This window comes from Homo sapiens, chromosome 2 (assembly GCF_000001405.40).
Source record: "Homo sapiens chromosome 2, GRCh38.p14 Primary Assembly".
Taxonomy (NCBI): domain Eukaryota; kingdom Metazoa; phylum Chordata; class Mammalia; order Primates; family Hominidae; genus Homo; species Homo sapiens.
Window position 1 is genome coordinate 43,977,080 of NC_000002.12, and position 27,945 is coordinate 44,005,024.

Below are 27,945 nucleotides of genomic sequence, written 5' to 3' on the forward strand. Positions count from 1 at the left end.
TAAATATACTTTTTTTTCTGAGTAAAGAAAAAAAATGGTGGATGTGAAAATATATTCACAATAGCAACTACTTACTCGATTTGGTTGAATGTTTGCTTCCTCCATTTTTGCCAGGAAATCAGTTGGTGAGAATTTATATTCATTTTGAAGATAGACTTTAAGTAAAGCATTATAGTGACTCACATCATACACAGCACCTACAAATGAAATTTAAAATGAATTTTTAGAAAAGCATTGAAAATCCTATGCTTTAAAGTGGACCTAAATTTAACAAACAAAAAGAGTAAAACTATCACTTTAGCATTTCACCCATCCATCTTGGCGCTCAGACCTATCTACACAGATACTCTGTCACACAGAGCAAGCTAAGCATGTAAGACAGTAATTACTGAGTTACTGTATAGTTACAAGTAACTGCCTATTCGGATATTAAAAGGCCTCTTACTTATGAAGCACAAAATTATCTTCCTGTTAGAAAACGCTGACAATATCCCTATATTTAAAAGTGACTGTAAGATTTTTCTATATAAAGCAGTCCTCACATTACAGACACACTGTGAAGAATGGATTGTAACTTCAGTTCTTTCACACAGTAGGACTGTGCTGGCAATTCTGTCACTCAAAGCCTTCATTTTAAGGATGCATTCCATTTTCAGCTGATGAACATGATCTATGGTATGCTCTTGTTAATTATCTGTATTCTAATGACCTTTGTTTTCTTTGTATCCCTACTGTTTAGGGCCACATCAAATAAGGTTACCACACAGCCTTACTCTACTGAGTCATGACATCATGGTCTTTATATCAATTTTGTGGTAACATGTCTCACTACATTTTCATGCATTAAATTTCACATCTTTATTCAACTGCCTGTGACCATACAGGCCTATGGTTAGTATCTGGGGGTGAGAGTATGTGATTTTAGGCAGCAGAGAGCTGTTCCATTAAATTAATACACATTTTTATCTTAACAGATATGTTTCTTTCATACTATGTTTCAGGCACTATGCTAAGTGTTCCACATATAGTGGCTCACTCAAACTTCACAACAACTTTGAGACACTATTATCAGCCCCATCTTACAGATAGCTCAGATCTGTCAACAGCTCATTCTGTAATTTTGGACAAGTTACTTAAGCTAAAAGATCTCTTGTATCTTTATAAATCTGTAAACAAGAGTCAAACTGGCAAACTACAAGGTTTCTGGCAATATTAATTCAACAAGTATGTATCAAATGCCATTATACACAAAGCATCATGCTACTGTCAAACAGGAAAATAAAGAAGCCATGGATTCCATCCTTATAAAGCAGACACTTATACAGGAGAGACCTATCTGTAAAGAATGTTAATATAATAACACATTGTTAATCTTTATATGGAGGAATTAATGTTATTACTGCTGTGTAATGCTTTTTTCTATTTTAGAATGTAACCTTTTCTGCATATATTTCTCCCAGTTCAATGACTTACTGACATACAGAAATTTCTAATTTTTAGAGATTCAATATTTTAGCTTTACTTTTCTGCTCCTTTTATACTTATAAAATCCTTTTCCATTCTGAAAGTCAACATTTATCTATATAGTTTTTAACTTAAAAAAAAATCAACTTATCAAAATGTATTCTAGATGTATTCAAAACTGTGAAGGAAGAATCTGTCTTTATCCTGTAGTTTTTTTCACATAGGTCCTACTCACTTTTTGAAGGATAGTCCTAAATATTTTATTTATCTGTAGCTATACTTTCTTGGATTCTTTTCTCTATTTTCTTTTATAACTAGAAGAGGTATGGATTCTTAAACATTTAGTGAGTCCAGCTAATTACTGTGAGCTGATTTTCTGGGATTTTGCAGATTAAACAATCACATCATCTAAAAATAATAACTTCTTGTATTGTTTCACATCTTATTTCATTGCATTATACATGATTGTTGTCGGTTTTAGATTTTTAACACATTAAAGAAGCATCTTTCTATACTTTAAGATTTTTTTAAATCAGGAATGAACATTAAATTGTATTAAACCATCTTTTTTCAAATTATTTTTTGAATACGTACTATGTTACATGACATAAAACTGAAAAGGTATAAAAAGGTCAAGTAAAACCTGTATCCAGTGTTCATCATCCTTCTAGAAATATTTTAATATTGTATACACATGCACGTGTAAAAACACTTTTCTTCAAAATGGTATCATTCTATACATACTGGTCTACACCTTAATTTTTATTTATACTCTGGAGAACACCCCCATTGGCATATAAAGAGCTTCTTCATTTCTTAAAACAGTTACACAGTAATCTATTTTACGGGTACTCCATAATTTATTTACCTAATCCCCTAGAGAAGAATATTTGAATTGGTTCCAATTTCTTACTATTACAAACAAGCTACAATGAAGAATATCCTTTTGCATATGTGAGTATATCTGTACCTAAATTCGAACAAATGGAACTGCTCGGTCAAATGGTATGTGCATTTATAACTTTGACAGACAAACCGGCTATTTTCTTCTTTTTCTTTTTTAACTTACCGTACTTGTAAGTAATACTTGTTATGAAAAATTATTTATTGTTAATGACCCTAGATGTCACTATACCTCACCAAATAAATATTATCAAAAAATTATGAATCAAGTAGCCCTTCCATAAAACTGAATTACAGCATTTATGTAAACAAACACTTTTTTGCAAAAAGAAAAAACATCTACACCTTTTATACACATCATATATTTAAACAATCATACCTAATTTCTGAAGTGTGTCCCATATCCTATGAGCAAATTCTGTTCTCTCTTCAAGCTTTAGTTCAGGCAAGAGAGAACCACAACTACGTAGTAGAAGCAAGGCATGACTACCACCTAGGCCACCTGTGGAAAAAAGGTTAATGGATAACATTTAACATAGCAGCAATATCACATAGATAAATATCAAAATTTAAACAGAAATCTATAAGCATTCAAAAATCTTCTGGCTCAAACTGAGAGTAACCATAAATTAGAAAAATCCTATCCTAATGTACAGTGTTACTAAGTTACAAGTCAAACTTTAAATATTAGTCTGCTTTCTTAAGAAATCTAAGGTTATAAAATCTATGTAATCTGCAAAACTCTATCAAATACAAAAATACAAAGAACCTACTTTATAGGCAGTGCTTGCTACAATTCAAAGGCTAAACTTCCCAGTATCTTATGAAAACAGTATAAAGGGCCAGGCGCGAATCCCAGTACTTTGGGAGGTTGAGGCAGGCAGATCACCTGAGGTCGGGAGTTTGAGACCAGCCTGACCAACATGGAGAAACCCTGTCTCTACTAAAAATATAAAATTAGCTGGGCGAGATGGCGCATGCCTGTAATTCTAGCTACTCGGGAGGCTGAGGCAGGAGAACTGCTTGAACCCAGGAGGTGGAGGCTGCGGTGAGCCGACATTGCACCACTGCACTCCAGCCTAGACAACAAGATCAAGACTCTGTTTCAAAAAAAAAAAAAAAAAGAAGAAAGAAAGAAAGAGAGAGAGAGAGAGAAAGAAAGAATACTGTAAAGCAGTGTAATTAACATCTATGAATAGAAAAGTTAGGTTCATAATCAGCTACAATATAAGCTTCCCTCTCCCTATATCTGTAAGCTTTATCTACATATCCCTGAAAGCTGACTTTAAAACAAAGCAAAAATAAACCACTTAGTATGATTCCATTTATATGAAATATCTAGAGTAGGGCAAACCTACAGGGACAGAAAATACGCTAGTTGTTGCCTACGGCTGGAAGGGATGAGGAGTTGGGTAATTTCTTTTTGGGGTGATGAAAATGTTCCAAAACTGATTGTAGTGATGGTTGAATAAATAAGTCAGAGAGAGAATGTGACACAGGTCTTTAAATGTACATAACTATAGTAATAATTAATACTTCTTTGGTATCTCTCACCATCAGATTTTATATCTACACTTCTGAGTGTGTCTGAAACCCACGAATAGGCTTTAGGAAGCTACAGAATCCTCTTAAACTGCATGCAAAATTATGCATATGTTTGCATGAGGCTTTTGGGGGTCGGGGGCAGGGAGTGAAAGACCTATAGCTTGCATCAGGCATTAGTGACTCAAACAGATTTTTAGTAGCTAATTGAAAATGAAAGGAAAATAATGGAAAGCTGTCTTATATGATCATCTTACAGAAACCTGACACTCTACAATGGAAGGTAAGAAAAACTAGTTATCTTCCAAGAAACTTACTACTAAAAGTGACTCCATAAACTAGGAAAAGCAAAAAGACAATTTTTATTTTCTGATATGGAATAAACATCTAGACCAGGTATGGTGGCCCACGTCTGTAATCCCAGCACTTTGGGAGGCCAAGGCGGGTGGATCACGAGGTCAGGAGTTCGAGACCAGCCTGGCCAACATGGTGAAACCCCGTCCCTACTAAAAATACAAAAATTAGCTGGGCAGTGGCATGCATCGGTAGTCCCAGCTACTTGGGAGGCTGAGGCAGGAGAGTTGCTTGAACCCGGGAGGCAGAGGTTGCAGTGAGCCGAGATCGTACCACTGCACTCCAGCCTGCTGGGCGACAGAGCGATACTCCATCCCAAAAAAAAAAAATCTAAAAATGTTTTAGTTACTCCAAACTTTGCCCAGATGAGTTGACAAGATAGAAATCACAATCATAACATAAATGACAATCAACAGAATATAACAAAGAAAATTAAAGTATCAAATAATCTACTGTGTAATGAGCTTACCCTCAAGTATTTATTTAGGTTGATGCAAAAGTAATTGCAGCCATTATGTTTAATGGCAAAAACTGCAATTACTTTTGCACCAACCTAAATTTAAGACTTTTTTTTTTGTTTTAAAGACAGATGTCTCTCTCTGTCGCCCAGGCTGGAGTGCAGTTGTGCGATCTTAGCTCACTACAACCTCTGCCTCCTGGGTTCAAGCGATTCTCATGCCTCAGCCTCCCAAGTAGTTGGGACTACAGGCACGCGCCACCATGCCTGGCTAATTTTTGTATTTTTAGTAGAAATGGGGTTTTGCCATGTTGGCCAGGCTGGTCTCGAACACTTGGCCTCAAGCGATCTACCTGCCTCCCAAAGTGCTGGGATTACAGGCCTGAGCCACTGTGACCAGCCAAAAGTCAACTTTATGAACAGGAAATTTTGAAATACCTGAGCGGCAGGTATCATTAAAAACTTTTTGTAGAAGCTTCTTTGGAATGCGGCCAGTTCTTCGAACAGAAAGATCTAGTCTCATTAGAGCCCAATCAAACTGATTGGAAATCTTCCTAGAAGAAAAAGTGGACTCCTCTTGAATATCTTTTTCTTTGGCAGCAATGGCATACAGCCTGGCTGGGCTCAGTAGTCCTCTAAAAAATGAAACATAATTAATAATAATCAGTTGCTATCTATTTAGGTCATTTTTTGAACAAAACTTAAACAAATTTTAAAATTAGTTATTAAACACCTAAAATCACAGTACAATACCAAAAATAGAGGTATGAACTAATGGGAAAGAAAGTTTTAGCTTTTACTTTAGATAAAATCATATACACACATACATAAACTATATGCACAGTAAATCTCCTGAATAATTGACAACATCTTGGTAACTTTGAACATGGAATGATTTCAAAATCAGATGGAAATACAGTGTGTTTTAAGTGTTTTTTAAATCTCTCCTTAACCAAAACAAGGTAATGACAGAAGATGAAGCAGTTTATGCTGCAAAGCTCTTCTCATCTCTGTAAATAAGACAAGAGATCTAAAATATATCCAAAATTTTTATAACTACCTTTAAGTTTTCTAGGTATAAGCTTACTATGAATTTAAAAGAAGACCAATGTCCAGGCTAAAACGATGCAGGGTTTTTTTTTTTAAGGATCATTTAGGCCCAAATAATTTCTAATCTGTCTAAATAAAGTTGAAACACTTAATAGTGATAAGGCTCTTAATTCTTATCTGCTGTGCAACTGTCAAAATGTTAGCTGTATTCTTTCCTAATTATTTAAAACAACTGCCACCAAAAATAAATAAAGTGTTAAACATCATTAATTTTAAGGAAGCCAGAATGGAAAGAAAAATGATTACAAATTAGGTATGGTCAGAATAGTACATTATGTGTTTACAAAGAGCAAGCAATCTTTAAACCATTCACTATTTTAGTAATGGAGTCTAATATGCAAGTCGAATGCTCTCTAACATGAAATCTGAGGGCTTCTAGGCTGTACCTTTTTTTAAAATAAACACAATTTTTTACAGAGACTAGGAAAAAAAACACCACAATTTTTAGAATATTTTTAGGTTTATAGAAAAATCGTGCATTAAGTAGAGTTCCCATATACTTTCTTCTCTAGGCTATTCTAGGTAAAAATATAAGCTGTACCTGATTTAAAAATATCAGATAAAAAATAATTCTTATGTGTGAAGGAAACCTGTTATCAATCTGAGTTGAATTTAAAAATGCTTTCTCTGCATTTAAACATCACTTTTAACAAATGATTTCTAATTATCAGTGGTTTACACATTTATTGCAAATATCTTAGTTACAGCAGCCACTAAATATATTATACACTATATAACAACTAAGTATAATATAATCACATTTTTCAGACGTACACATTTTCATCACAATGGTGACTTTAAAAATAAAACTTACATTTCTATCCTATGTTATTAATCTGAAAAAACCAGTCACAAATTGAATGATCAAGTATGTGTTGTTTTACTAAAGGAAACTATACTAGAGGTTTCACCTCAAGTTTATATAAAACGAGGCTGTAATTGATAATAGACTAGAAATTCTACCACTGTGATCTGGGAGAAATCATGACTCTAACCATTAGTGATTCCACCATCTAGGTATAAAATAATGGAAAAAATCAAGATACTGACTAAATAAGACAATGTCTTATTTTTGTAAGACCAATGATCAGCACATTGTAGATGGCTAATTGACTCGAGTTTGTCAAACGAGCTGAATTAAGCTACAAACCACAGAAGATATACCCTTAAAATAATATTTATCCCTTACTTCCAAAAGGCATTTATCTAGTTGCTCTATCAGTTGTTACTAAACTATCCCCTTCTTAATGTCCCGCAAGCACAAAGTGACATTATTTTTAAACTGTCCAGGACAACATGTCAAGTTTGGAGGAGTATGCAATAATATTAGTCAACAACAAAAGCTGATTAATACAGAAATTTCAAAATTGTGAAGTCTATTTGCCAAAGTTTTTTACACAATGCAAATCTGATAAACTGTTAAAGAGCAAAAATAAAACTTCCGCTACAGGATATTTTTTAAATGTAAGAGAAGACCAACTCAAATTTCAGGCAGAAAACATGTTTATAAACTAGCACATTGTTCTGAATATTCTAGGCAAATTTTTCTCATATACATGTCTTTACTGCAGCCGAGTCTCCTTCTCATAAGTGTGCTTGGATTTAATTAAGTAGAAACATGAATCTATTATAAAATAAATTGGGATAGAGGAAGGATTACATATTTAACCAAAGAAGTCTTCACTCTTCAGTTATATGGTCCAGAACTTATTTTTAAATTCACTCTAATACATTCTGGAAACAAGAGTTTCACAGCCTGGAGTAATGGGTATGTCGTCACAGAAAAGAAAGAACAGAACAAGTCCAGGGGTGACGGTGGGGCCCCACAAGAAGATCACACCCACCAGGCTTGCACAAGCTGGAGCTCACTGCCTCCAAATGCTAAGGACCAAAATTGATATAACCACATAAGGGGAAATTATTGTATCATCTCATCCAAGTATCATACTGGCTCCTTTACATTTCCTAGTTAAATGTCTCAGGTTCCTTCCAGACTCCAGCTCCTACCACTAATACTCAAATTACCCATAAATGTTTTCTTGTAAAATCTACCATTTAAAGTTATTATCTCTCAGTTTTTTTAAAAAAATTAAGGTGGGTTTTTTTTTAACTCTTCAATAGAAAACGATCTTATAGTTGAATGTCCATTAAAAAAAAAAAAGATATAAGGGATCAGATTATCCTACTAAGCAGGCTTCCATGGGACCCTCCCCACTACTTTTAAGCATGTACCATTTTTTTAAAAAATAAACACAATTTTTTGATAAGCAGAGACTGACTAGAAAAAAACCCACAATTTTTTAGTGTTTTTAGGTTTATAGAAAAATTGTACTGAAAGAACAGTTCCCACTTTCTTCTCCCTCCCATTTCCCCTAGTAACATTTTGCTGTAGTGTAGTATCTTTGTTACAAATGATGAACCAATGCTGATACATTATCCATCAACCAAAGTCCATAATTTACATTAGAGTTCACTGTGTGTATACATGTTTTGACAAACATATGACATGTATCCACCTTTACAGTATCATACAAAATAATTTCACCACCCTAAAAATGCCCCATGCTCTATCTCCTCATTCCTTCCACCCTCCTTCCGAACCCCTGGCAACCACTGATTTTTACCTGTCTCTAGTTTTGCCTTTCCCAGAATGTCATATAGTTGCATCATACAGCATGCTGCCCTTTCAGATTGGCTTCTTTCACCTAGCAATACACATTTAAGGTTCCTCCATGTCTTTTCACAGCATGACGGCGCACTTCTTTTCATTGTTGAATAATGTTCTTTTGTAGATATACATGATTTGTTTACCCATTTGCCTACTGAAGGACATCCAGGTTGCTTCCAATTTTTGACAATTATGAATAAAGCTGCTATAAGCATTTGTGTGAAGGTTTTGGTATGGACATGCATTTTGAACTCATTTGGGTAAATACCTAATGGTAAATCTATGTTTAGCTTTCTAAGAAAACTATCAAACTATCTTCCAAAATAGCTATACCATTTTGCTTTCCTACTAGCAATAAATGAGAGTTCCTGTTGTCCTACATGCTTGCCAGTATTTGGGGTTTTCGACGTTTTGCTGGATTGTTGCCATTCCGATAGTGGTATCTCATTGTTGTTTTAATTTATATTTCTCTAATGACATAAGCTGTTGAACATCTTTTCGTATGCTTATTTGCCATCTATATGTCTTTTCTGGTGAAGTATTTTCTGCCCATTTTTATTTATTTTATTTTGAGATGGAGTCTTGCTCTGTCACCCAGACTGGAGTACAATGGCGCGACCTCAGGTCACTGCAACCTCTGCCTCAGGATTCAAGCGATTCTCATGCCTCAGCCTCCTGAGTAGCTGGGATTACAGGCACACACCACCATGCCCGACTAATTTTTATATTTTTAGTACAGACGGAGTTTTACCATGTTGGCCAGGCTGGTCTCAAACTCCTGACCTCAAGCGATCCGCCCACCTTGGCCTCCCAAAGTGCTAGGATTACAGGCATGAGCCACCATGCCCAGGCCATACACGTTCTTAAAACTCTTCTCTCCACTTTTTTTCTTCTTCACTGATATTATGAATCAGTTTAGTGTCACTTTAGAGCTATCAAGAGTTTAAAGGTAGATACAGGTAGAAGACAGAAGAGGCATTATTAATAGCTAATGTTTATCAGGTGTTTAATTTGTGCTGGGTATGAGAAAATTATAACTTACAAATGAAAAAACTGAAGCAACTTGCCCAAAGTCATCACAGTTAAGGCTAATGATAGGGCCAGGGTTAGCACTCAGACGGTCTCATTCTGAGACGGTCTCATTCTGAAACGAACTCAACGTGGCAAAAGGGCATTGAAGAAACTAATCTGGCTGCAATTGGGTGTTCACACTGGAAAGTGGTAAAAAATTAAACCTAGACAGTGAGAGTGAGACTAGACAGTGCAAAGTCTCTAATGGCAGATAAATAAGGGATTTGGATTTTATGACACACTTGTAAAGTACAAAACTAGTTTTCATAGAGCCGCTCTCTCAACTTATTTTGTTGCACTGTAATGTAGAAAATGGGGAACTCAAATTTATCTCCTACGTTTTCACCAATCCCTAATTTAACTATTCCACTTGAATTTTCTTTAGCCTGTTGATACGCTGGATCACGTGGATTGATTTTCAAATGCCGAACCAGCCTTGCACAGTTGGAATAAATCCCACTTGATCACGGTAAATCATTCTTTTTATATACTGCTGGAGCCTCCCGAGTTTTAAATGTATCCAAAATGCAAAAAGATAATGCCTTTTAAAAATGTTTGGTAATGAGCCGGACGCGGTGGCTCATGCCTGTAATCCCAGCACTTAGGGGAGGCCGAGGCGGGCAGATCACGAGGTCAGGAGATTGAGACCATCCTGGCTAACAAGGCGAAACCCCGTCTCTAATAAGAATACAAAAAATTAGCCAGGGGCCGTGGCGGGCGCCTATAGTCCCAGCTACTCAGGAAGCTGAGGCAGGAGAATGGCGTTAACCCAGGAGGCGGAGCTTGCAGTGAGCCGAGATAGCGTCACTGCACTCCAGGCCGGGCGACAGAGCCAGACTCCTCAAAAAAAAAAAAAAAAAAAAGGTTGGTATTCCCTTCAAATTTCTCCACTGCAACCAACCATTCCACTAATACCCTGTTCCCACAAACTCAAACTCAAAATCTTAGACTAATTATTTTATTGGGCAAAGTCTCTCAGCCTTTACATCCCATCTAGTGAGTGCTTAGATGTCTGAGGCTCTTGATGAACTCATGGATTTCTGCAACAAATCTTTAGTTTCTCAGGCTTCAGCCTCTCTTCATACAACTGCCAGATCAACCATCCTCAAAACCATCTTTTTTCAAAAATCCTATCATTGTTCTTTACTTATCACATCAATTCTGTTCTTCCATTTATTAATTCAAAATATATTTACTGAGTGCTTTCTATGTATAAGGCACTGGCTAGAATATTCTTATCTAGTAATAAATCTAATAAATTAGACCTTTAAAAATATTAATTATGGTAAATGTAATTAAGAAAAGAAACAACGGGCCAGGCACGGTAGCTCAAGCCTGTAATCCTAGCACTTTTGGAGGCCGAGGTAGGCAGATCACTTGAAGTCCGTTCGAGACCAGCCCGGCCAACATGTGAAACCCCATCTCTACTAAAAATACAAAAATAAGCCGGGCATGGTGGCAGGTGCCTGTAATCCCAGCAACTCAGAAGGCTGAGGCAGGAGAACTGCTTGAACCCAGGAGGCAGAGGGTGCAAGTGAGCCAAGATCGCCCCACTGCACTCCAGCCTGGGAGACAGAGACTCTGTCTCAAAAAAAAAAAAAAAAAAAGCTGGACACAGTGGCTCATGCCTGTAATCCCAACACTTTGGGAGGCCAAGGCGGGCGGATCACCTGAGGTCGGGAGTTCTAGACCAGCCTAACCAACATGAAGAAACCCCATCTCTACTAAAAATACAAACTTAGCCAGGCATGGTGGCGCATGCCTATAATCCCAGCTAGTTGGGAGGCTGAGGCAGGAGAATCGCTTGAACCTGGGAGGCAGAGGTTGCAGTGAGCCGAGATCACGCCACTGCACTTCAATCTGGGCAGTAAGAGCGAAACTCCGTCTAACAAGAAAGAAAAGAGACGCCACTGCTCAATAAACAATAGCTGTCTTATTATAGAAGGTGCTCAATAAATGCCTCTGAGTTTTTGTTTGTTTGTTTTTTGAGATGGAGTCTCGCTCTGTCACCTCCGGAGTAGCTGGGACTACAGGCACCCGCCACCACGCCCAGCTAATTTTTTTGTTATTTTTTTCAGTAGAAACGGCGTTTCACCATGTTAGCCAGGATGGTCTCGATCTCCTGACCTCGTGATCCGCCCGCCTGAGCCTCCCAAAGTGTTGGGATTACAGGCATGAGCCACCACGCCTGACCAAATGCCTCTGAGTTTTTACAATATCTTTCCTTTATCTTTTTTTTGAGACAGGGTCTCATTCTGTTGTCCAGGCTGGAGTGCAGTGGTGCAATTATGGCTCACTGCAGCTTTGAACTCCTGGCCTCAAGCAATCCTCCCACCTCAGCCTCAGCTCCCAAGTAGCTAGGACTACAGGTGCATGCCACCACAGCTGGCTAATTTCTTTTTTTCTAGAGACAGGAGTCTCACTATGTTGCCCAGGCTGGTCTTGAACTCCTGGCTTCAAGTGATCTTCCTGCCTCAGACTCTCAAAGTGCGGAGATTACTGGGCCTGGCCTAAAAAATCTTTTATAAAACTAAGTCACAATGAACTTTCTCCCTCTAAGAACTGAATTCTCCAAAAACTTTTGACAAATTTAGCTGCCCCAGTTTTATGCTTTATGGTAAATCACAGAATTTTAGACTAAAAAAGCTACTAGCCACCCTTCTACACTTTATAACAACCTTCTGGCCTGAAATACCAATCCACTCCTTTCCACCTATCGAGATTTCCCTTCCATCTCCCAGGATCCTCCAGTCAAATGGGATGTCTCCTGTGTCTCACCTATGGAGGAAGTAATGCAAAGTCAGTTAACCAGATTGGGACCGATAATGTGACATGGACACTCTTCAGAATCTATGAAGATCCCTTCCAGATACATTCTGAGATCTTCTATGTTTACTTACCTGTGAAAGTCTTTAAATCCCAAGTTTATATCATATATTGCCTTTTAAAAAATGTTTTTGTCCATAAGTAATCCCTTCACCATCTAAAACACAACAGTCTGGACCTCATTCTGCACCCAATGATAACTACCATGGCAGTTAACTGTAAACAGGAAAATGACAAGATCAAATGTGTAACATATGTAAAACACTTGTAACATATGTTGCAACATATGTAAAACATTTCAGAAACGGGAATCACGGTATCTGGAGTTGAATCTCAACTTGAGGTCTTGAATAAATTATACTTCTAACCCTGTTTCCTAATTTGTAATAACCCACGGAAGTTGAAATGTTTGTATGATGTTATGTTTACAAACACACTTTGAAAATAATAAACATCAGGCCAGGTGCGGTGGCTCATGCCTTTAATCCCAGCACTTTGGGAGGCTGAGGTGGTGGATCACCTGAGGTCAGGATTTCGAGACCAGCCTGGCCAACATGGCAATGGCAAAACCCCATCTCTACTAAAAATACAAAAATTAGCCAGGCATGGTGGCATGCGCCTGTCGTCCCAGCTACTTGGGAGGCTGAGGTGGGAGAATCGCTTGAACCTGGGAGGCAGAGGTTGCAGTGAGCCGAGATGGCCCCGTTACACTCCAGCCTGGGTGGCAGAGCGAGACTCCATCTCAAAAAAAAAAGAAAGTAATCAGCATCTATTCTAAAGGTACCATTGTTTACCCTAATCCCCAAATCTACTTTTCTTAATTCTGCTAACACTCTCACCAATCTTCTGTTCTCTTTCTCTCAAGAAACGGATCTTTTCGTCAGTTCTTTACTACCTCGTTGAAGGCCTATTACTGCTAATTTGCAATACCAGTGTTGTTCCATCCCCACGTTCCTATAATCTACATAAACTTTGTCAAAATCTGTACTTAAAATCCTCCAACGGCTTCCAATCATCAACTAACCTACCTTCTAAGCAATCTTGGTAGCCTCAAGAAATCAACTTCCACCACATCCCACACAGCTACACGGGATAAACGGCCTCCAAGTCTCTTCACGCTCTTCTCTATTTTTGGAACATTCTGAATATCCACTACCATGTGTCCTCTAAAACTCAATGTCCCCCTGCCATAAAACAAATGGCACTGCTCCTCTCTCTGAAATACCACAATATTATATTCTTCTCTTATGGACAGCACGTCTAATAGTTGTACATGTGCCTGTCTAGCCCTGTGATTGATAAATCTACACTCACAGAGCAGAGGCCGAATGTTACAGATTTCAGAACCCCAAAGGACCCATCAGGTTCTTTTTTTTTTTTTTTTTAATTGAGATGGAGTCTCGCTTCGTAGCCCAGGCTGGAGTGCAATGGCGTGATCTCGGCTCACTGCAACCTCCACCTCCCGGGTTCAAGCAATTCTCCTGCCTCAGCCTCCCAAGTAGCTGGGATTACAGGCATGGGCCACCACGCCTGGCTAACTTATGTATAGATACTTTTATTTTTTTTTTTTTTTGAGATGGGGTCTCACTCTGTCACTGAGGCTGGAGTGCAGTGGCCTGATCTCTGCTCACTACAAGCTCCGCCTCCCAGGTTCATGCCATTCTCCCACCTCAGCCTCCCGAGTAGCTGGGACTACAGGCGCCCGCCACCATTGCTAATTTTGTTTTTGTATTTTTAGTAAGAGACAGAATTTCACCATGTTGGCCAGGCTGGTCTCAAACTCCTGACCTCAAGTGATCTGCCCGCCTCGGCCTCCCAAAGTGCTGGGATTATGGGTGTGAACAATAGTACCCAGCCGGACCCATCAGATTCTTAATATTTGCAGAAGATTTTTCTAAAATGAGAGTTTTCTAAAAGTTTTCTTCCAACTTTAGAAATAAAAATCACACCATCCCATCAAAGAACAATATGTAATTTTCACCTTTAGGCCAATCATTAGTCTAGATCTACTTCCAAACAGATTGAGCTCAAAGCTTATCTTTCCTCTGAAGTATACAAGTATTATGCTAAAAACCATCACACAAAGAATACACACACAAAGCAGCTCTGATCCAGAAATGCAAGGAAAATGTATGTGACAAAGCAAGAGTATTTATCACCTCAAAGAGAACAGAGTAAAAGCTGGTTTTCCAGAAAGCATCTATTTGAAAAATAGATGTACTGAGATGGGAAAATGAAGAGCAAGACCACATATTACAAAGTAAAAGGATATACTTCTTGGTGCTACAATTTTGAAAACAGATTACTAATGTCTAATAATTTCACTCACTAATACTCATTTGTCCTCAAATAGGACATTCCTGGAAATCAAGCTCAGGGTGAATTTGTGTAGACACACTGCACTGCATGGGTGGGTTAAGCATCCCTTCAATCTCCTCCAGTTTACCATATTCCTTCTTCAATGTCTTAAGATTTTCATTGATTCACTCAACAAACATTTGACACCTACTATATGCCACAAAGTTAAACACCAGGGAAAGCAAAAGGAGTAAGACACAGTATCTGCCTTCAAGCAACTTACAGCCAGCTCCAGAGTGTTGGTGAGTGCACGTCATAGTGTTAATGGGTGCTTTAGTGATACACGGTCTAAGAGGAGGCACAAGAAAGGAGCCAGTCAAATGGGAGAGGCAGTCAAGTTAAGGTTCAACAGAGATGGGGGACACCTGACTAAGGGGGAAGGGGAGACACATTCCAAGAGTCAACATTACACTCAAAGGCAAGGAAATATACAACATGGCCCATCAAAGCCTTACAGATCCACAGACAAGCACTAGACCTACAAAATCAGAATCTGCAGTTTAACGAGAGCCCCAGGCAATCATGCTCACTAGAGTTTGAGAAGCCCTGCTGTAGAGCACTTCAAAGTAGTAGTCTGGTACGGCTAGAACGCAGGATGCCATGGGAGGGAACTCAGAAGAGTTGACGCTCCAGAGGCAACTCCAGCTCATAAAGCACCTGTGCTAAAGAGTCTGGATCTCCTTCTGGACCCAATGGGAGCCACCACAATGCTTAAGTGTAAGCAGGAAAATGACATGATCAAATTATCAGGGAGACTAGGGAATGATGAAGGGGCTGGAGGAAAAGGGATGCATTCCAAATGAAGCAGATCTAACAGGGCTTAATCATTTGTGCAATCAATAAATGGGGGGTGAAGGGAGTGAGAGATGAATGGGAAAACAAATATGTAGATATCCAGGATCTTTCTGGAAGGCAGGTAGAAACAGCAACATTCACGAAAATAGGGAACACAAGAGGAACAGATGAAAGAAGAAGGAGGGGTCCAATTTGAGCTGTGTTGGCTCTGAAGTACCTATAGTTCAAGCAGGTGGATGTGTAGTAGATGGTCCATATCTGGGAGAAACATCATCAGATAGGTAAGTAATGCCCTGAAAAATGGAAAAGGTCACAAAAGAGAATGAAAATGTTGAGAAAACACAGAAGGACCACGAGTAAAACTACCAAGAACATCAGCATTTAATAGGTGAACAGAAGCAAGAGGAATCAAGCAAATGAGACAAATCCTAAAGAGAAGAGAACCTAGAAAAATGGTGTCATCAATACCAAGAAAAGTGTCTCATGAAGGGGAAAATGGAAGACAGAGTAATATGCCAGGTCAAGGCCTAAAAAGTGGATTTGGTAATTAAAAGAGGTCCTTTCAAAAAGTTAAATAAACATACATCTTACACATACATAAGTCATTAGAAGGACAGCTATCAATGAATGGCTCTCTGGTTGACATAATTAAGGGTGATTTTTAGTTTATTGTTCCCACCACCCAGGTTTTGCAACTGTCCCTCGAGGCACCTTAAGGAATAATTTTTGCAACTGTTCTTCAAGGCACTTTTGAAATAATTTTTCAAAAATACAATAAAAAAATCAATAAGATAATAATGGCCTTTGACAGCGGTGTGACTGCAGTGGATAGGAAAGTGAATGAAAAGTGATGAAATTAAAGGGACAGAGAAGTATGGACAGGGAAGAGACTGAGAAACTTCTAGAGTAAACAGAGTTCCAGGAAAGGTTCTGTGTTTCACGTGGGCAAGATCTGGGCATGCTTACAGGATGTCGGGTAGGAGACTATATACAGTGCTCAGAGTCCAGGAAAAAGAGGGAACAATCACTTCTTTATTGCCTGCTGTCACCTGAACACACAGTGGTGAACAAGACAAAGTCCTGCTCTCATATAGCTTACCTTCTACTAAAGAAAAAAAAAAAAACCAGAGAAATAAGTAATGATATCAGACAAGTGAGGTGTGCCACGAATAAATCTACAGTGGGACCGGCATGTTTTGGATTGAGTGTTGAGGTAAGGCTTCCCTGAAGAGACATTTGAGATCTGAATGATAAGAAAGCAACTTTACAAAGATAAGGGGGAAAGGCCTTTACAGATAATGAAACTGAGGAACAGACAGGTTAGTAAGATGGCTGAGATTACGCAGTAAGTAAACAGAACCCAGGTCTGATGAACACCGAGACCACCCTTTCTACTAAACTATGTTCTCTCTTTATTCAGTTCTCCTCAAATGCAACAGTGAAGATAAAAGAAAATGTGGACCTTCCCCTGGCCTCACAGAAATGCTGAGGATTAGAAAAATAAGAGTAATGGGCACAACTTTCTCAAAAGAAACTCTGAAAGCCAAGAGATGTATATAGTTCTGTGCTCAGAGGCATGATTTCGGAAAGTTAACTGTTCAAGCCCAATAAGAAAATATAGGCAGACTCCAAATTACAAGTACGCTCCATTCCAAAGATTATAACTAAGTTGTTAAGAAATCATAAATTATTTCCTCCACGTAATTTTATGGCGAGATTAGGTGTTCAGGCTGGTCCATGAAGGTCCGCATAACCGTAGATATTATGACTCCTGTAGTAACCAACAAAGCACTTACTAGGCATCAGGCCCTATACTAAGTGCTTAATACAGATAATTCTGCAATATTCCTAACACTACTACTACTCCCACCTTATAGCTAAGGAAGCTGAGGCCTGGAGATGTTAAGTAACTTCTCTAATGGCATAATGCAGATAATTTGAGGATAAAATGCAGATAAATCTGGAGTAGGCTGCAGTCTGGGCCCAGCCTACTGCAGATCCCTGGCTCTCAGTCCTTACGCGAGCTCTCAAAGTACCTTAATTTACAAGCATCAGTCTTTCAAAATCATTTTTTCTCCAATGCTAAAAGCTCAGCACCTATCTCCCCTTCTCTGGTGGTCAGAATACTATTAATAACCAAATGAACACTTTCACCAACTTTTCTTTTCCCCTCCACTACAAAAGTCTATACCAAACCTATCTCTGATAAACCTCAAACCATGAGAGCATTTATTCGCCTATCTGACACCCACTTAGAGTTTAACTTGCCTTTGCATCCCCAGATTCCAACAGAGTGCCTTGCATGTGCTCATTCATTCAAAGACACTTACAGGACGGGAGCGGTGGCTCACACCTGTAATCCCAGCACTTTGGGAGGCCGAGGCAGGAGGATCGCTTGAAGTCAGGAGTTCGAGACTAGCGTGGCCAACATGGTGAAACCCAGTCTCTACTAAAAGTACAAAAGTTAGCCTGGCATGGTGGCGCACACCTGTAATCCCAGCTACTCGGGAGGCTGAGGCAGGAGAATCGCTTGAACCCGGGAAGCGGAAGTTGCAGTGAGCTGAGATCGCGCCACTGCACTCCAGCCCAACTCGCGCAACACCTTCTTAAATGCTGAAGGAAAACTCCATTCAAGAGAACGCAGGCAAAAGCCCAAAGTGATCATAATCCAGCGTCCAGCTTTAAGTCATCCGTGGCTCACCCAAACTCCCAACCCACTCCTCGCCGCCCCATCCCTCGCAAAAAGCTAAATTTCCAATATCTAAATGCTAGGTGGTTACTGATCACCAACGGTGACCGCACGTGGGACACCACCCAAGCTGGCCAAGTGTAAGGAAAAGACCACCACCCGACTTCCCAAAGCAGTCTTCAAAGCCCCCCTCATCTTCGTTGACCATGGGTACCCCGAGGGCAGTAAGGTCCAGGCTGAAGTGGCGGGGGCAGGATTCAAGCCGGAGGCAGGCCATGCCCACAGCCGTGACCTTCTGAAGGCGCTTAACCCTGTCACCCGAAAACCCCTGGTAGGGAGCGTGGTGCGGAGCCCGGGGAGGCTAGGTCCTGGGGCGGGGAGAAGGGTGGCGAGCACAGGCAGGACCCGGTCCCTGCCGGCACCCACGACCCCGGGGGACCCTGGCGCCGCAGCTTGCCTGGAGAAAGGGCCTGGGCACTCACCCGGCCACGGGCCCGGCGCGAGCGGCGGGCAGATAGGAGGCGGCATGCAGCCGGCCCGGGCCGCCAGGGAGGAGGCGCAGGGAGAGCGGGAGGCGCGGGGCCGCCCCGGCACGCAGCAACCAACGCGCGGATCTCAGCAGGGCTGCCATTGCTCGAACGTCCCCGCAGCGGGAAGCACGCTCCGCCAGAAGGACAGGAGGAGCATGTGACCGCAGGGTAGCCTGGCGCGGCAGAGACCAACTGCCGGGCGTGCCAAATGTGGGGGGAGCGACGGATTGTTTTAGGTTGGAAGATGGAAAACCGCACTTCTCCGAGGACAGAAGACCCAATGTAATATTTACATAAACGATGTTGCTTGATTCATTATCGAAGCTTTTCTTTTCCGTCTTCCGTCTCCGATCTGGGCATCGTGTTCATTCGCTGCACCCCTGCACTCCTCTGTTGGTAGAGCCGCAAGAGGTCAACTCCTCCCAGGTTGGCGCAGAGGCTTGTGGGAGGCCAACTAGTAAAAATACCGAGAACTCTCGAGGAGAGCCGACTATGAAGATCCCAGGACGTGGGAAGGTTTCCCCCGCCCCCGAGTGCAGATGTTGCTGCTAACGTTCAGCCCTGACGCCATGTCCAATAGGAACGGCCCTTCACTCTCAGAAACGCGGGCCGGAGAAACCGTGGAGGTCTTTTGCACCTTGCCGTTTGCCTCCCAGGTTCAACATGATAGGATGTGGATTATCAGGGCCTGGGAACAGTGTAAAGGAACGCGCAGGTCCCCACCCTAAGCGCGTACGCGGGGCCTCGCTTTAGAAAATAAATGAATTCTACCAAAAATCCTATAGTTTTAAAGCTGGAATTGAACTGACTCTCTTCCCCAACCCTCCACCCCTACCGCGCCTCTCCCTTCAGTAAATGCACATATACATGTGAGAAGTAAAAGAACAATGTAATTAAGAGTCTCCAGCCAAATATGGGGAGAAAACTGGCAAGTTAAACCCATCGCTGGCGAAGTGGCTCACGCCTGTAATCCCATCACTTTGGAAGGCCGAGGCGGGTGGATCACCTGAGGTCAGGAGTTGGAGACCAGCCTGGCCAACATGGTGAAACCCCATCTGTACTAAAAATACAAAAAATTAGCCGGGCGTGGTGGCGGGCGCCTGTAATCTCAGCTACTCGGGAGGCTGAGGCAGGAGAATTGCTTGAACCCGAGAGGTGGAGGTTGCAGTGAGCCAAGATGGCGCCATTGCACTCCAGCCTGGGTGACACAGCGAGACTCTGTCTAAAACAAAACAAAAAAACCACGTCGCTGCCTTCACAGGGCTTACAGACTGGATCGGTTCCCTGTGCACACGTGGGAAGCTGAGAACAGCCTTCCACTCCCTCTACACCTGCCTGTCCCCTACCTATCACGAGGCAAACGCGGCGGGTATTTCCTCTGGAAGCCCTCCCACGGTCATTTCCGAAGTGACTGTTTATCCCACTGGACTCCTTATCAGTTAATCCCACGAACTCCTTATCAGTAGGGACTGTGATCTCTTATTGTAGGCCATACACCTACCCAGTGCCAGACACACAGTAGGTCTCATTAAATATGTGTTAAATTAATGTCTATTTTGAGATGACCTAGCTCACCTCTCCTTTGAGAGATGAGGGAACGAAGACACCCGCTCCAAGCCCCCAAAAGAAACAAGGTGAATTGATTGACTCTGGGTTATATTACTGAGCACTGGGAATACAAGTTATTCACCTATTCAACACGTATTTATTGAATACATATCCAGTGCCATACACTATTTGAAATCCTAGGAATACAGCAGAGAACAAAACAAACCAACCCTAGATTCTAATTAAGCTCTTTAAAGTTTAATTTGGGAAGACAAAAAGAACTGTGATGCAAAATACGCCAGGGTAAAGGGATTGAGGGTGTCATGGGGGGAGTTGCTTTTTTTTTTTTTTTCTCAAGACAGGGTCTTGCTCTGTCACCCAGGCTGGAGAGCAATGGCACGATCTTGGCTCACTGCAGCCTCGACGTCTGGGCTCAAGCGATCCTCCCACCTCAGCCTCCTGAGTAGCCGGGATTACAGGCCCAAGCCCTGGCTAATTTTTGTATTTTTAGTAGATACGGGTTTTTGCCGTGTTGCCCAGGCTGGTCTCAAACTCATGGCCTCAAGCAATCTGCCTGCCTCGTCTCCCAAAGTGCTGGGATTACAGACATGAGCCACGACGCCCGGAGAGTTGATATTTTAAATAGGAAAAACGTTGAACAGAAACCTGAAGGAAGGAAAGGAGGAAGCCAGGAGAATTTTCTGGAAGGAGAAAAAAAAAAAGAGTGGTTAAGGCTTAGAGAACAGCAAACACCAAAACCCAGAGGCAATAATAGGTGTAGCCTATTCAGAGAACTTTAAGGAGGAGGACTGTGTGGATGAGAGAAAAGAGCAGGGGGTAGAGAGCAGGGGGTAGGAGTAGAGGAAGGAGCAGGGGGTGGAGAGGGGCCTGGAGGTCAGAGAGGTAGTTGGAGGCCATATCAAACAGGGTGTTGTAGGTGGCCGTGAAGACTGACTTTTATTTAGACTGAAGACTTTTACTTAGAATGAGATGAGAAACCATTGGATAGTTTGGTGTGTTGCTTTTAAAGAGATGGAGTCTTGCTGTGTTGCCCAGGCTAGAGTGCAGTGTCTATTCACAGGTGCAATTATGACACACTACAGCCTTGAACTCCTGGGCTCAAGCAATCCTCCTACCCTGGCCTCCCAAGGAAGTGGGACTACAGGTGCATGCCACCACACCCTTTTGCTTTTTTTTTTTTTTTTTAAGTGCAGTGGCACAATCTAGGCTCACAGCAACCTCTGCCTCCCCGGGTCCACGCGATTCTCATGCCTTAGCCTCCCAAGTAGCTAAGATTACACGCATGAACCACCACACCCAGTTAATTTTGTATTTTTAGTAGAGATGGGGTTTCACCATTTTGGCTAAGCTGGTCTCTAACTCCTGGCCTCAAGTGATTTACCCACCTCAGCCTCCCTAAGTGCCGGGATTATAGGCGTGAGCCACGGCACCCAGCCACCCATTTGCATTTTGAAAGGGTCACTCTATCTGCTGTTTGGAAAGGAGATTTTAGGGGAATGGGGATAAATAAAAATAGACCAAAGAGAAGGCTAATCCAGAATAGAGATGCTAGTGGCTTGGATTAGAGGGCAGCAGGTGAAATGATGAGAAAGGGTCAGGTTCTTACTCTATTTAAATAGTAGAACCAAGGGGATTTACTGATGGATTGGCTGTGGATTGTAAGTCAAGAACGGCTCCAAAGGTTTTGGCCTAAACAACTAGAAAGATGGAGATGACTCTGATTTAAAAGGAGAAAACAAAGAGAAGCAGATTTAAAAAGTGAAATCAAAAATGATCTTCTAGAATATTAAGCTTGTGCCTGCTAGACATCCAAGCGTCAAATTTGAATAGGGGTTGGCTATATGACATACAAGTCAGTTCAGGGGAAAAGTCAGAGCTAAAGATACATTTGGGAATCTGCAGCTTGTACCTAATATTTGAAGCCACAGAAATAGATGAAAGCATCTAGGAAGAAAATGCAGATAGACAAGAGAGGGAGTCCAAGGACTGAGGCTTGTGTCATTTCAATCTTTAGAGGATGTATAGATGAAAATCTAGCAAAGGAAACTGAGAAAGAAGAGCCAGAGAGGCAGGAGAACTGAGCCCAGTGAGGTCACAAATACCTGAATGAAAGAAGTCCTTCCAGGAAGGAATTATCAATCACATACAATGCTACTGTTAGTTCCAATACAATGAGCATGCAACATTGACCATAGAATTTGTTGTTTGTTTGTTTGTTGAGAATGAGTCTTACTCTGTCGACCAGGCTGGAGTGCAGTGGCGTGATCTCAGCTCACTGCAACTTACGCCTCCTAGGTTCAAGCAATTCTCCTGCCTCAGCCTCCCAAGTAGCCGGAACTACAAACACGCACCACTATGCCTGGCTAATTTTTGTATTTTTAGCAGAGACAGGGTTTCACCATGTTGGCCAGTCTGGTCTCGAACTCCCGACCTCAGGTGATCTGCCCGCCTTGGCCTCCCAAATTGCTGGGATTACAGGCATGAGCCACCGCGCCCAGCCAATTATTGCTAATTTTCTAAGGCATGATAATGGCTTTGTGGTTACGTAAGAAAAAATATGTTTAGAGATGCATGTTGGCACTGGAATATGTAGAAGTAAATTAACATGATGTCTGGAATTGTCTTTTTTCTTTTTTTTTTTTTTTTTAATGAGGCGAAGTCTTGCTCTGTTGCCCAAGCTGGAGTGCAGTGGCGCCATCTCTGCTCACCGCAACCTCCGCCTCCCGGGTCCAAGCAATTCCCTGCCTCAGCCTCCCGAGTAGCTGGGATTATACGCACCCGCCACCATTCCTTCCAATTTTTGTATTTTAGTAGAGACGAGGTTTCACCATTTTGGCCAGGTCGGTTTTGAGCTCCTGACCTCGTGATCCACCCGCCTCGGCCTCCCAAAGTGCTGGGATTACAGGCGTTGAGTCACTGTGCCCAGCCTGGAATTGTCTTTAATATACTTCCCCAAAGAATAAAAGGCCGGGCACAGTGGCTCACACCTATAATCCCAGCACTCTGGGAGGTCGAGGCGGAAGGATCACTTGAGCTCGGGAGTTTGAGACCAGCTTGGTCAACATGGTGAAAACCTGTCTCTACAAAAAAAAAAAAAAAAAAAAAAAAAGCAAAAATTAGCCGGGCATGGTGGTGCACACCTGTATTCCCAGCTACTTAAGGGGCTGAGGCAGAAGGATTGTTTCAACCCGGGAGGTGGAGGCAGCGGTAAGCTTTGTTCATGCCACTGCACCCCAGCCTGGGTGACAAAGTGAGACCCTGTCTCAAAAAAATAAAATAACAAAAATATAGAAAAAGGAAATGTGACAATATGTTGATAATCAATGAAGCTAGGTGATGGGTATATGGGAGCTCATTTTACTATTCTATTTTTTTTTTTTTTTGAGATGGAATCTGGCTGTGTTGCCCAGGCTGGAGTGCAGTGGTGTGATCTCAGCTCACTGCAACCTCTGCCTCCCGGGTTCAAGCGATTCTCCTGCCTCAGCTTCCTGAGTAGCTGGGATTACAGGTGCATGCCACCACACCTGGCTAATTTTTGTATTTTTAGTAGAGACAGGGTTTCACTATGTTGGTCAGGCTGGTCTCGAACTCCTGACCTCAAGTGATCCGCCTGCCACAGCCTCCCAAAGTGCTGGGATTACAGGGTGAGCCACTGCGCCCAGCCTATTCTATTTTGTGTATGTTTAAATATGTTCACAAAGAAAAAGAATTTAAATGCTGGTTATATTTTGATTTCGCTTCTCACTAATACGGCATGACTTGGAGTTTGAAAAACATTGTATTCAAATAGTCAATATAAATGCAAAGTAGACAAAAGCACCAGCTAAACAAATGTACCAGACTATACCCTGAGAACTGGAGACCCGTTCATAGGAACATGATTAATTGACTTCTCCAACAAATAGTAGCTCAAACATCAAAACTTGCAGTTGTTGCTAAACCATTTTACATAAAATATTAAATCTCCAAGATTGTAGCTATTATAATCTAAGAAAAAGATTTGCATGTAACACTAAAGTTTAAAAAGAAAAAAAAATTTAACTTTGAAATTCTGAGCCCAAGGTATAGTACTCAGCACCCTAAATCAGAAGCTTACAAAGCAGGTGGCATTACCCTTGTTTCTCTTAGATCAATTAATTTATTTCTTGCCTCCTAATAATTTTTTATGAATCACAGTGATCAGAAAATATAACTGATTCTTCATAACTGTTTGTCAGCCTTTTTGGAATCTATTCCAATTTTGACACAAGCACATTCAAAATAGTGTGAGCAAAGAACCAAGTGATTGCCTTAAGTTTAAAAGCCTGTTTTACTCAAAAGACTTAACATATTTTAAGCAGCAGATTTAATGTTTAGCTGTGATTATGTTTTCTCTTAAGGCAACTTGTCTGATGAATCAAGGGCTTCTCCCATCTGTGACTGCATTTTTTATATCCAAATGTATTCATGTATGTAATTCCCAATTATTCAAAAATTATTCTGCTCAGATCTTTGTTTGCACACAGCTTCAAGATTCTCACTACAAGTGGAGGTCCAATTTGCCATTGTTACACCCTTCAGCAACACTTCTGTCAAACAATGATTCTTTCAGAAGCTTACAAACCAGCAAGACAGATGCAGGGTCATGTACTGTAAGAAAGTAACCAACGCTGGCAACAAGGAGTTGTTGCTGATATTTTCCCAGTGTTACCATGTGTGAAGGCTGAAAAGTTTATGTGTTTCCCACAGGGCAGATAGTGTCTGGATAAATCAATATAGAATAGTAGTCAAACATAATTGGCATTTCAATGTACTATACAACTGAATCCCTTTAAAACATAAAATGGATATAATTCTTATATTACTGAAAATAAACTTTAGGACGTCTTTATTGAACAATCATTGTTAATGCCTAAAATGTAACATGAATCTCTTAAATTTCCTGGATAATGGATGGTTTCTGTATGTCTTGTTTTGTTTTTAAGGAACTAGAAAATGTATTTAATTTTCTTTGAGCAATGGATAATGTGGAATTTCTATTTTAGCTTGTGTATCTCTGAGGGTTGAAAAATAATTTACATTGAACACTTTTATGCAACTTGCCTTCTGATCATTTCAGTTTAATTGGGAGAGGGAGGACTAATAGAGTTTACTTGGGCTAGTACATTATGGATTTTCCGGCCGGGTGCAGTGACTCATGCCTGTAATCTCTGCACTTTGGGAGGCTGTGGCAGGTGGATCACCTGAGGTCAGGAGTTCAAGACCAGCCTGCCCAATATGGTGAAACCCCATCTCTACTAAAAATACAAAAATTAGCCAGGCGTGGTGGTGGGCACCTGTAATCCCAGCTACTCGGGTGGCTGAGGCATGAGAATCACTTGAACCTGGGAGGCAGAGGTTGAGTGAGCCAAGATCAAGATCATGCCATTGCACTCCAGCGTGGGCGACAAGAGCAAAACTCTGTCTTAAAAAAAAGAAAAAGAAAAAAAGAAGTATGGATTTTCCATTTCATTAAGTTGCAAGACACTGATGTGGCTCTTGTTCTTGGCTTCCCATCTTACTTTTCTTTCTCTTTTTAATAGATCCTACCTCTGAGCCCAGAGATGGACACATGACCAGGCCTGACTAATATATCACCCTGGTCACAATGATGATTCTGTAACAATCCTAGAGATGAGACCCAATCTACCCTAAACAACGTTTTTCCCTTGAACTAAAGGAGCTAGTAGGGAGTGTGTTTTGGTTTTTTAGGTCATGGAGCTTGAAGGAAGGGAAGACCTGCCTGCAGACAGCCTCTTCACCATGTGAAGAGAGCCCATTTTCTGTTTTTTGTTTTGTTTTTTGAGATAGGATCTCACTCTGTTGCCCAGGCTGAGTGCAGTGGCACCATCATGGCTCAACGCAGCCTTAACCTCCCAGGTTCAAGCAACCCTCCTACCTCAGCCTCCCAAGTACCTAATTTTTTTTTTTTTTTTAAATGGAGTTTCACTCTTGTCGCCCAGACTGGAGTGTAATGGTGCGATCTCGGCTCATTGCAACCTCTGCCTCAGCCTCCGGAGTAGCTGGAATTACAGGCATGCACCATCACGCTTGGCTAATGTTTGTATTTTTAGTAGAGATGAGGTTTCACCATGTTGGCCAGGCTGGTCTCAAACTCCTGACCTCAGGTGATCCACCCACTTCGGCCTCCCAAAGTGCCGGGATTACAGGCATGAGCCACTGCACCCAGCCTATTTTTTGTATTTTTTTGTAGAAACGGGGTCTTGCCATGCTGCCCAAGCTGGTCTTGAACTCCTGGGATCAAGTGATATGCCCAAGTTGGCTTCCCTTCCCAAAGTGCTGAGATTACAGGTGTGAGCCTTCACACCCAGCCAAGAGCCCATTTTCAATGGAAGATAAAAAGGTCAACATACAGAAGGATACAGATGAGAGAGGGAGAGAGAAAAAAAGAGAGGACATTCTGATGACCTATTTTGTTCCCTTAGATATAGCAGGAACTGAATTCCATTCTCGGATTCCCCAGTAAAATGAGTTAATAATTTTCTGTTGATTTCACCTAACTTGAGTAGGGTTTCTGCTATTTGCACCTGAAAGAGCCCTGACTAACGTAAAAACTGGTAGGAAGAAATAGAGTGGCACAATGTGCTTACTAAAGCTAGAGTTTCAGGAAATTTTTTTGGAGAAAAATATCAGGATAGTAGAGTTTGTTTGTTTGTTTTTGGCCTTCATTAACATTCTGGACGAAGGGAACAAACTTCACTCCACGCTAAATCATTTGAAAGCAGGAGAATGGCAACAGCTTTGTTGAGCAGTCCTCTCTCCAGTTGCCTCAATCTCAGACCACTGACAGTCACATAAGCTAGGTCTTAGAGAATTACCAAGGCTGAATTCTGTGCCTGAGCTTGCATTTAGTGTGACCGAAGTCAAGGAAGTGGACATCACAAGAGGAGATTACTGGGTTCCAAGAGGGGTCAGAAAAACTGGGCGAAGCCTTAAAATTCAGATTGCTCCCAAACCCTCCTTTTCTGTACCCCTTACCTGATGAAAGCAACAATTTCTCCATTTGTAAAGCACCATCCTCTAAGGTTCATCTTGGAATCAAGTGACATGTCCATTATTATATTACCAGTTTACAGGTTGGGTTCCCAGGGAAACAGATTCTAAGACTCAGATTTGAGCCCAGGAGGTCTATTGGAGAGTGCTGTAGGGAATCATATTTGAGGGATGAGGGAAACCGGATTGGGCAGAAGGAGAGATCAAATTACGATGCAGTTGCAACTGAGGCCTCCCTCAGATCCTACAGAGAACTTTGGATCTCAGAAGACCCTTCAAAGTTATTCTGCTTTCAGCCAAGGCAACTGGGCCTTTATACTCCATTACTGAACAGTCATTGGCTGTAGACTCTCTTCAGGGAAGAAGCATGGCCTTGAGTTAAATGAAGGCAGGGGGGTTCCCAAAGAAACTCAAGCTGAGAGCCATCAGCTGCCAACATGTGCAGCAGCTGAGGAAGAGTACCTCAGCCCTAAAGGAGGAAACCCAGGTGGTGAGCCACATCATCTGCTATGCCGCTCTATTGTGTCATATCACTCAGAGGAAAAGGTTGTATTAAAGTTGTTAAGATACAACCAAG

At 41.2% G+C, this 27,945-nt stretch overlaps 1 protein-coding gene across 5 annotated transcripts in view, besides 8 other annotated features; it reads right to left on the reverse strand.

Annotated features, from left to right (window-relative positions):
• LRPPRC (leucine rich pentatricopeptide repeat containing) overlaps nt 1-19,186 on the reverse strand; it is a 110,042-nt gene extending 90,856 nt beyond the window's left edge. For 3 of the 5 annotated variants that reach the window (XR_007068563.1, NM_133259.4, XM_006711916.4), the window contains exons 1-4: nt 18,720-18,910; nt 5,159-5,355; nt 2,747-2,869; nt 76-197 (exon numbers count right to left, since the gene is read on the reverse strand). Coding sequence is in view for 4 of the 5 variants with exons in the window: in NM_133259.4 (NP_573566.2) it covers nt 76-197; nt 2,747-2,869; nt 5,159-5,355; nt 18,720-18,868 (591 nt within the window). In the remaining variant the exon portion in view is untranslated. Of the gene's footprint in view, nt 1-75; nt 198-2,746; nt 2,870-5,158; nt 5,356-18,694; nt 18,911-19,060 lie in introns of those variants that run through there. The other 2 variants (XM_047442809.1, XM_006711915.3) reach the window with 2 other exon arrangements.
• Nucleotides 6,898-7,098: a silencer, noted in NCBI's record as "peak3686 fragment used in MPRA reporter construct". NCBI's record gives its function as "represses an SCP1 promoter by STARR-seq MPRAs in K562 erythroleukemia cells {active_cell/tissue: K562}" and the evidence as "EXISTENCE:reporter gene assay evidence [ECO:0000049][PMID:32103011]".
• Nucleotides 9,105-9,605: an enhancer, noted in NCBI's record as "H3K27ac hESC enhancer chr2:44213323-44213823 (GRCh37/hg19 assembly coordinates)". NCBI's record gives its function as "activates a minimal SCP1, AML or CMV promoter by ChIP-STARR-seq in primed H9 embryonic stem cells {active_cell/tissue: H9 hESC(primed)}" and the evidence as "EXISTENCE:reporter gene assay evidence [ECO:0000049][PMID:30033119]".
• Nucleotides 10,518-11,018: an enhancer, noted in NCBI's record as "H3K4me1 hESC enhancer chr2:44214736-44215236 (GRCh37/hg19 assembly coordinates)". NCBI's record gives its function as "activates a minimal SCP1, AML or CMV promoter by ChIP-STARR-seq in naive H9 embryonic stem cells {active_cell/tissue: H9 hESC(naive)}" and the evidence as "EXISTENCE:reporter gene assay evidence [ECO:0000049][PMID:30033119]".
• Nucleotides 11,019-11,519: an enhancer, noted in NCBI's record as "H3K4me1 hESC enhancer chr2:44215237-44215737 (GRCh37/hg19 assembly coordinates)". NCBI's record gives its function as "activates a minimal SCP1, AML or CMV promoter by ChIP-STARR-seq in naive H9 embryonic stem cells {active_cell/tissue: H9 hESC(naive)}" and the evidence as "EXISTENCE:reporter gene assay evidence [ECO:0000049][PMID:30033119]".
• Nucleotides 18,461-19,112: an enhancer, noted in NCBI's record as "H3K27ac hESC enhancer chr2:44222679-44223330 (GRCh37/hg19 assembly coordinates)". NCBI's record gives its function as "activates a minimal SCP1, AML or CMV promoter by ChIP-STARR-seq in naive H9 embryonic stem cells {active_cell/tissue: H9 hESC(naive)}" and the evidence as "EXISTENCE:reporter gene assay evidence [ECO:0000049][PMID:30033119]".
• Nucleotides 18,461-19,187: a biological region, named in NCBI's record as "H3K27ac hESC enhancer GRCh37_chr2:44222679-44223330".
• Nucleotides 18,488-18,807: a silencer, noted in NCBI's record as "silent region_11429". NCBI's record gives its function as "represses an Ori minimal core promoter by ATAC-STARR-seq in GM12878 lymphoblastoid cells {active_cell/tissue: GM12878}" and the evidence as "EXISTENCE:reporter gene assay evidence [ECO:0000049][PMID:35858748]".
• Nucleotides 18,908-19,187: an enhancer, noted in NCBI's record as "active region_15681". NCBI's record gives its function as "activates an Ori minimal core promoter by ATAC-STARR-seq in GM12878 lymphoblastoid cells {active_cell/tissue: GM12878}" and the evidence as "EXISTENCE:reporter gene assay evidence [ECO:0000049][PMID:35858748]".